Source organism: Homo sapiens, chromosome 3 (genome assembly GCF_000001405.40).
Source record: "Homo sapiens chromosome 3, GRCh38.p14 Primary Assembly".
NCBI lineage: Eukaryota > Metazoa > Chordata > Mammalia > Primates > Hominidae > Homo > Homo sapiens.
The window spans coordinates 151,986,980-151,997,263 of record NC_000003.12 but is presented as its reverse complement, the minus strand read 5'-3'; positions in this window follow the sequence as shown (position 1 = coordinate 151,997,263).

Genomic DNA, 10,284 nt, shown 5'->3' with positions numbered 1-10,284 from the left:
AGGGAGGACGTGCTATGGAACTCTAGGGGCTGAAGTCCTTGGGGAAGCTAGAAACACACTAGACCTGTTTAATGTACACCACAGTCATAGGGAAACATATTCATGACTGAAGATACCACTCTAGGAAGAGAAGGAAGAAAAAATTTCCTTGATTTCTCTTTTCTCTCATCTTTCAATCTCCTTAAGGCCTCTTGTTGGCTGACCAGTCAAAGTGAGCTGAGTGAATGCAGTGTGCAGGGATCAGCTCCTATTTAAACAAAAAAAAACCAAAAAAAAAAAACCAAAAAAAAAAAAAAAACAGAGGGCTGGAAAATGGACCTGAATACGAAAATGGACCTAGTTCTTATAGAACATCACGTAACAGAGGAAAGAACACAAAAGATCATGGGTATTTCTAAGTTCAACGAAGGTTCTGTTCTCTAATGCTCTCTATCCACTTCAGCATGAAATTCTATTGATTTTACTTTATTCTCCACTGTTACCTTCCTAAGCCTTCCTCTTGAATTGCTGCAGTTGCCGCCTAACTAGGCTTGTCAAAAATTTTATGGGGCTCAGCAAACAAAAGTTCTTTTCAAATTAAAAATTGAACTATATCATTCTTTATTCATCATTTAACTCCCAAATGCTTTTCTTTTGTTTCTGAAATAAAGATCTATATCCATAAATTGACCAAAGGCCCTTTGTGGCCTGGCCTTGGCCTACCTCTTCAGGTTCAACTTTAATTGCTCTTCTGTCATTTTGCTTCAACAATTCCGTCCTTTTTATAGCTTTAAAATAATGTACCATTCTATTTGTCATTAGATGACTATCACATATGATATTCCCTCTACCTGGAATTTTCTTTACCCAATTGGCTCCTATTTTCCTATCATACCTTAACCTTTTAAAAAAAAATTCACAGCATGCTTGTCACAATTTTTTTTCTTTTTTTGAGACAGAGTCTTGCTCTGTTGCCTAGGCTGGAATGCAGTGTACGTGATCTTGGCTCACTACAACCTCTGCCTCCTGGCTTCAAGTGATTCTCCTGCCTCATCCTCCCAAATAGCTGAGAATACAGGTGCTTACTACTACTCTCAGCTAACTTTTGTATTTTTTTGTAGACATGGGGTTTTGCTATGCTGGCCAGGCTGGTCTTGAACTGCTGACCTCAGGTAATCCACCCACCTTCGCCTCCCAAAGTGCTGGGATTACAGGCGTGAGCCACCATGCCCGGCCACAATTTTCTTTATTACAGAAAAAACAAATGAAAACAAAAAAAAATCCTAGGAATCACTCTACAAAAAATGGATCCTACCTGTATGAGAAGAAAGGAAGGAAGAAAGGAAGGAAGTAAAGGAAGGAAGGAAGGGCAGAAAGATGAAAAAAACAGCATTTTGATAACACATATAAGAAATTAGTGAAGAGAGAAATCATGTTCCCAAATGGTACAACTGTTATATAAATATTTGAAAGGTGTCAGATAGATTAAGAAATTCTGAGTCAGAAAAATCGCTATGGTACTGTAAACCAGGAAATACACAATTTTAAATGATTTCAGAAAGAGAAATAACTCCCTAAGCACTGTCAGTAGGAAAAAAATCTTAAAAGATTGAATGAGTAGCAAATCTAGCTTAAATAAATAAATATTTATATTCTTAATAGATTGAGAGCCCTAGCAAATTATCAGGGAAAACACTAGCACTCTACTGTTAAAAGAAGTAGAGAATATACAGAGAAAATATTCACAGGAGAAAAACTAATGGTCTATTAAAGTACAAGAGAAAATGTTCTACCTGTCCAGTTATTACAAATGCTACTCTCCTAATATCCTTTTGAGTGCATATAACAGTGTAACCATCCCTTAAGACTATTTGACAACATACTAAGATATTTAAAAATCCATACCCTATGACCTATTAATTTTAGCTTTAAAATTATTGGCTATGAAAATAATTCAGAAGTGACACATGCAATTTGCCAGTGAGAAGTTCCAGCTGTTCAGAAGGCAGAAAGTGAATGAGGTTAGGATATTTACATCTCCAACTCTCTCCTTGCCACAATGCGACCATTTGGTTGATTTCATCCACTGAAGACAACAGTTTTTATTGGGCTAGCTTCTCCAGATTCTGGTAACAAAACTCCTTATGCTTGCTGATTGCAGTCCTAACCCTGGTAATGGCTCCATTTCTGCTTATTGGTTTCCCTTAACCATGCTTCTATTTTTGTAAATGTCTTCTTCAAGATGATGCCATTTTAATATACTGCCATTTTAATATTTAATAAGTTGTTTTCATGTTCAACAAGGAATATTCTCACAGTGCAACCATTGTGAGGGTCTTCTAATTCTATTATACTTTTATTTCTTTTCTTTTTGCTGTATCATTACTGCCCAGCCCATTGTAGGCAGATCAGTGACAGGGTTTTCAACTACTTCATCCAACCTTCAGGACAACCTGAGGTGTCATACTCAATATGTCTTTCTATGTATTATCTGTAAATTAAAAACAAACGTGCAGGTCTGACGAAGAATTGTAGAACAAAATGCTGGTTAGACTGATTCCCAGTGTTTGTGTAGCTACACTGAACAAGAGAAATGAACTTGTGTTTTCTATTCATTTTTTAGATGATTATTTTCTCTGCTTTTCACTATCCGTCTTGTTGAGCATTCACAGGTTTCATTCATAATCTTTGTAATTTTTATATATTTTAATTTAACTAGTAGCATATATATATGTATATATTATTTAACAGAGTGTATGGATTCAAATCCTAATATTGGGCAGGTTTTATCAAGATACATTTGACCAATAAACCTATCCTATAATTCAGCAATTGCACTCCTAGGCATCTATTTAAGATAAATGAGTTCATGTATCTGCTAAAAGACATGTACAAAAGTGTTCACAGTGGCTTTATTATATAGCCAAACACAAGAATCAACTTAAGTGATAAGGAGTAAAATAGGTAAGTAAATTGTGATATATTTTTATAAGAATCACTATGATTAAAAAAAGAACAAACTGCTAGGCCAGGCACAGTGGCTCACCCCTGTAATCCCAGCACTTTGGGAGGCCGAAGTGGTCAGATCCCTTAAGCTCACAAGTTTGGGACCAGCCTGGGCGACATGGCAAAACCCTGTTCCTACAAAAAAATACAAAAATTAGCCGGGCATGGTGGTATGCACCTGTAGTCCTAGCTACTCGAGAGGCTGAGGTGGGAGGATGGCTTGAGCATAGGAGGTGCAGTTTTCAGTGAGCTAAAATCATGCCACTGTATTCCAGCCTGGGCAATAGAGCCAGACCTTGTCTCAAAAAAAAAAAAAAAAAAAAAAAAATATATATATATATATATATATATATAAATTAATAAATAAGTAAATAGAGAACATACTACTAATTTCCACAATAGCATAGATGAACCCAGTTATGTTGAGTGGGAAAAACCAGACATAAAATAGCATATACTGTACAATTGCACCCATATGGGTTCAAGAACAGGAAAAACTGATATATAGTGATGAAAATCAGAGTAATTGTTGTCTCTGGTGGCAGTGTTAAGTGAGGAGTGGGGTGCTGAAAAATGTTTCATAGATTGCTCTGAGTGGTAGTTTCATAGCTGTGCATATGCATTGAGCCGTACACTTATAATTTTTGCATTTAATTCACATTAATGTATAATTACATCAGATTAAAAAGTGTGCTTAAAAAATAGAGTCTTAGTTGCTCGACATAGAAAACACCAGTTAAGTAACACCTTTGTAAAGTTTTTTATCTTAAATAAGGCTTAGTTCTGTGGAGAGTGTTACATATAATATTACTCACATGTCTACTTCCTCATTAAATCTTCATAAAATCCATGAAAGCTTCAAACTTACCCAAAGAATTAAAGAAGTAGCTTCAATAGTAAATGGTGGGGTCTGCCTTCAAATCTCTGTTATTATCTTATATTCAATTCCCTGGAAACAAACTCTATGGTAAAGATTAGCATGCAGGTGATTTACTAGGAAGTGCTTCTGGGAACAAATCCATAACAAAAGTGCTTTTGGGAACAATCCATAAGGATGTATGAGAACCAAGGTTGGGTAGAGAGAAGGTCAATTGTGATTCAGTTGCAACAGAGGGCTTGGCCAATTTTGTCTTCCCTCTGCTGGGTGGCAGCTTTTTCAGTTCATTTCTTTCAGACTTAGGTAGACTGCTTTGCCTATGTCTTGCATATTCATGGTTCAGGGCACATCAAGAAATTTGGGCAGAGTTTAGGCACTACATTTAAAGTTCTTCCTTGATGGATTTCTTCTCTCTGAAAATTTTCTCCCTCACTTTTCATGTTGACTCAAAATCATCATCTGGCACTTCATGTAAGACTGCAAGTTTCTATCAGAGTTTTAGTCAATTTTATGGCACGGACTGGAGTGTAATCTAGAGCAATGCTCTGTGTGTGTGTGTGTGTGTGTGTGTCTATAGTTTATAGTTATCTACAAGAAAGCTGATATAATAACAGCTTGGCTATTCATGGAAGCGGAAACCTTTGGTCTACTTTTAACATGAACTTACTCATTCAATTATTCTACAAATATTTTTTAAACTACCACTGTTTGTAAGTTTGTTCAAACCTCTGGAGATAAAAGAGTAAGCCAGAGAAGTAACTTCCCTGTGTTAAAGAGAAAAAAAAACAACCCACAAATTAATTATGCATGGAAATAAATTCTATAGAGAAAGTAAAACAGGGCAAAGGCAGGACATTTTACACTGTGTAATCAGGAGAGTCTTGTATGAGAAGACGGAATTTGAACTGAAGCACGACAAAGAGGAAACATATGATGAACTGTGGAATTATAGTCTACACAGAAAGAGAAGTACAAGCTGATTACTTAGACATGCCTTTGGGAAAGGTGGTCAGTTTATTTGAGAATGATTTAAGAGAGAATGGTTCAAGTTTAGAACTTCCAGCCCTAGTAGACAAAAACAGTATGCCCAGTTAAATTTGAAGGAGCTGTCATGACCCATATTATTTAGTATATTTTAACTGCAGTGGAAAGCACTAGATGATTTTAAGCAGGACCGACATAAACTTTTTTACGTTAAATTATATAGAATAACTGAATTCAGAAAACAGATTAAATTGCTATAAACTAAAATCTGGATGCCTTCATGTCAGCAACCATTTTGGAATGTGTTCATGAGAGAAGTGAAAAGGCAGGAATGTACATGGTGGATTCAGACAGTAGGAAGTCAGCCTGGCTCGAGTCAAGGGTCAAAAGACAAACCAAATATAAAGGTAGGCTTTTTATAGTCTAAGAAAGGCCTTGAATGACAACCAAAGTATAGTTTATTTTGATAGGCGCTTGTAGACAAGACAAAATTATTGCAATAGATCAGATCCAGACCTGGTCTGTTGAGTGGCAATAAAAAGCATCAAGATTTCTGTTTCCCACAGTATTGCAGACTAGAAATTCTGAGATACCTATCTGATAGAAGCTCAGGGGATGAAGAGTGGAATAAAGATCATTTTTATTTGTTGCATTTCAGGTGCAAATTAAAATATTAAACTGAACTTCCTCGTAAAGAGTTGGAGATGAACTTCTGGAGCCTAGAAGAGATCCTGATTAGATATGGAGATTTAGTTCTCAAACTTACAAAAGTAAGTTTTATCTCCAAGTGATTGTAGCAACAAACAGCAACAGTCTGAGTTAGTAAAAATTATACATAATAAGTAGTAAAAAAAAAAAAAGATGGTAAACACACAAACTTCAGACAGAGAGGTCTTTAAGAGGCATTAAATTAGCATTCAGCACTTCATTTCTTATGCCTCACATTTGGTAGATGCTAACTTAATATTTGTTGAAAAGGTCCTAAGAGCTGTCAATGAGTTCCATCTGTGTTGTAAATTATTCACAGAATAAAAATTAAGCTACCACAATTTTTAATTTGACATACTTAGAACTTTTATTAAAAATTAAAGACAAGAGTTTTCAAGTTATCAACAATCCTTATTTAAAACCCAGTGAAATTCAAGAGGTCATATTTTATAGCACTAATTTTACCTATAAGGAACATTCAAAGACACTTACATGAAAGTATAAACCTCTCACCTAGATTGTTATATTTATAGGTCATAAAACACCAAACTGAAGTACAAGATAGCAGTAGAATGATGTCTTATAAACTAACAAAGTCGACAATATTAACATAATGGTCTCAGCTGAATTTGCCCATTTAGTAATGCTTGGAAAGCAAGACCTAAACTATAACAGTTGAGAAACTGTTAGGTACTGAAACACAATTACTTTAACCAATAATGTTGTTTCATTTGGATTTCTTTAGTCCAGAAAGCATGTGAAGTAATCCTAGCATCACTTTGTGGTTATGCTCTTCTGTCAGGCTTGGTCCTATAGTTTATATCAGTAGTTCTCTAGAGAGGCAATATACAACCATGGGACACTTGGCATTGTTTGGAGACATTTTGTCACTCTTCAGGGCGGAGAGAAAGTTGGAGATGGGGTGGGAGAGGGTGGATGCTACTGGAATGTAGTGGTAGAGGTCAAGGATGCTTTGAAACATACTACAAGGCTCAGACAACTCCTTTCATGATGAAGCATTTTCCTACCCTAAATGTCAATAGTGTTAAGGCTGAAAAATCCTGCATATCAGTGTCATAGTCCCAGAGGCAGTCATAAAACAGACCCGAGTCAAAACTTTCTTTTATAGGATTTAAAAGTTGTTAGCCAGTTCTGAGATGTTGAAGTTTCTTGGGCTCAGAACAATTCCTACCTGCGTGATTTATAGTGCAGGCCACTTTCTTTCGAATACACTGTATTCCTGAAAATGTGCAGCAAACTTGAACATGTTTGTGTGTTTCAACCATGGGACTTTGTTTCCAAAAAAGCTAAAAAAATTTTTTTAAAAATTCCTCATCACACCTCCCTTGTTAAATGCAGTCACAGTATATTCGTGGCATTTTATTCATGTTCTTTAATTTCCCCATTCTTCCTCCAAGGAATAGATAGTCTCCCAGCTTAAAAGCAATGAGTATTGTAGGCTAAAAATGTTTTGCTGTTGGCAGGTCTATTGTTTTCTATATTTGCAACAATTTTAAATGTATGATACTTATGATTTTCATCATTAGTATCAACACTTATTATTTCCATATTCACTCGTGTTTTAAAAAGCAGTAATTTTCAAGCTCTTTTTCTAGCAACAACTTTTTAAAACAAAATCTTGTATTGTCTTAAACATAAATTAAAAAGTTTGTGTTTTAAAAATTAAAAATCCCTACTTCCTACTTCATCACTCTTACCCTTTTTCCCACCTTCATAAACAAGCAACACCTTTGAAAAGTTTTGGGGTTATAAGAAACAATGTTGAAAAGACATTGTAATAATATATTGAAATAATGGCATAAATGTTGTTCTACTGTGGACAAAGACACTGATGCTGCCAAAACTGAATTTTTGGCTGTCAGACAACAAGCCATGTGTCAAATTCAAATGTTCTATCTTGAGCAGATGTATGGAAATCTAAGTCTGGCATGTAAGAGTTCCTTTGGGAGTATCATTTAATAATATTTGAGAGCATAAGTTGCTCAGAACTTGATTATATGAGTTGGATGCAGTGATACACACCTATGATCCCATCTACTTGGGAGGCTGAGGCAGGAGGGTCACTTGAGCCCAGGAGTTCTAGTCTATCTAGTTGAGCTTGGACAACATAGCGAGACTCCATCTAAAACAAAAACAAAAACAAAAGTAAGTGAAAAAACAAAACAAAACAAAACAAAACCCAACAAACCCAACAACTTGATTGTTTATTAATGGGAATTACCAGTTTCTCTTTTGCCTTTATTAAACTTTAATGAACTTGCATTTTCGCTATTGTTCAATTAATTTTCCTAAATTTGCTTCTTGACTTTGCCAGCTCACCCTCTTTCTGATAAGGATGCAGTCAGACTCCCTCCTATTTAGCAAGACTTCTGTTGCTGGTCCCTTGTCATTCATGTCCTGCATGACACACAGAGGAAAAATGACATTGAGATTATTCAACTAAGAGTGTCTTAAGTCTCATGGTGATAAAAAGAAAAATTATCTTTGAAAAACTATTTAGCTTTTATTTTTGGCAATAGCATCTTTCAAAGTAAAAATATTAAAGCTAAGGATAACAATTTAACCTAACAATGTATGAAATAAAAAATAATCAATAAAAGAAGAATTAAATTTAATTTTTATTTTCATATCAAAATTTTTTCAGATAGAGGATTTAAAAGGAGCACAGCCATCCAAGACCTGTGCTTTTGTCTTTTGCTACATTTTCTTCTCTGCACATTTTAAATCCTACTTATGTCTTGCTCCTTAGTGAAAGTACAGATAATAGTGAAGATTGAAATATCTAGGACCAAGATATATCTGTCTTATTAAAATTCATTTGTCAAATATGTCATGAACATTTCTTAGATGCATTGCTCATAGTAGGCAAAATGAAGCAAATAACTCTAAGATTTCTGCATGCAACCAACATAATTCAGTGCCTACACTGGACCAGGTACTGCTCTAGTTATCTGGAGTACAACAGTAAGAAAAAAAGAGTGTTTATTTTTGTGGATTTATACTCTAGTGGAGGATGTGATATGATTCATGCTAACTAGGAGTTTTTGAGAAATAGTTACCCCAAAGAACAACCAAAAATAAGAAGTTGAGTCCCTCCTGGATGTTCCCTAACTATATACGTGGCTATAATGTTGGTTGGATGCAGAAATATTATGGCTATACATACGTCTATAATGTTGGCTGGATGCAGAGTTTATTTGCTTCATTTCACCTACTATGAGCAATGCATCTAAAAAATGTCGAAAATGCTGCAGGCAGAGAATACAGCTTACCATAGGTAGCAAAGTACCTATGAACTCAAATGCTTGATGAATGAATATGTGGCACATAGAAGAAAGACAGCATGTGAAATTTTGGAGTAGTTTAGATAATTTTGTAAGAGACATGAAACTCAGGCTTCTCTTTAGGACACAAACAGGCTTTAGTTTGATGGAAAGAAGCAAAGTGAGAGCAAAGTGAAGTCATTTTGAAACATGGCATGAATTGAAAAATGGGCGGTGAAATACAAGGTACATGAGGGGAGACAGACAAAGGTCACTGGAGCAAGAGAAGAGCATATATATTGTAAAATAGTATGTTCATACCTTGCAGGTAATGAACCATTGATGATTAGGTACTAGAAAAGAGGAAATGAAATTGCCCAGATATTAAACAACTTCCCTAACTTTAGTCTCCAAATCTGTGCTCTCCCATCATGACCATTTAAATGCATTTTATAAACTGAAAAGCACTGTGCATATTTATGAATCTTGGATCATTTTATAATTCTCTGCAGTGTACAGTCAGACTAATTCATCTGGGTAACACTAAGCTATGGTCAAGATCTCTTTAACTTGAAGATTTATGATTATTAATCTTAAGGATGAGTAATCACTGTGTATATATTTATTCCTAGTTAAATTAAAATTAAAGATTCATGCAATTCTTCCTCTTTTGACTAGTCATATTCAAAAAATCAAATTTAATTTATTTTTTTAAAATAGAGTTGCATTAATAACGTTCAATAGTACTTCTATTCTACTTGAGAAGTCACAACTTATGAGGAAAATGGACTTCAAGAAGCACTTAGGAAGGAATAGTACAGCAATATAAATCGTATTCATGCCCTCCTAGTAAAGCGTTTATGTTTAAAACTCTTACAAATCATGGTTTATAGTAGTTGTTTTAGAATGAGAGATGAGTATATTACTGTATTACTGTATATATATTTTTATGGCTTTTAAAGCAAAGCACTACTTAAACGTATAAAAGGGTCATTATGTCAATGAAATGACTTTTTTTCCCCTAGAGTAGGTTTTAAATATGTGATCTTGGTAAACACTTGCTAGCTTATCTTTTTTCTGAATTTAGAGATAATCCTGAAAGAGATATTTCACCATGTTTGATAAACAATGATTAAAATAAAAAAAAAACTCTTTCCTTCTTTCTGTGGGTACCAGGATATTTGAGCTTTACACAATTTTTTAAATGAAACCTTTATAACCTGAAGAATTTTCTAAATAGGAGCGAGGAATTCCCCACCTGTTAATTAATCGAATTGATCTGCTTTCTACTTTTCAACTCTTGAAAATTCTCAATGACACATGTAAAAGATATAATCTATCAAGGAGGTAATTATCTGTTAATTATCTAGGAAGGTTCTTGTTAACTCTCCTTCCAAATAACTTAGCAGATTTACTCAGAACTTCTAAGTACTAATTCAGTTTCAC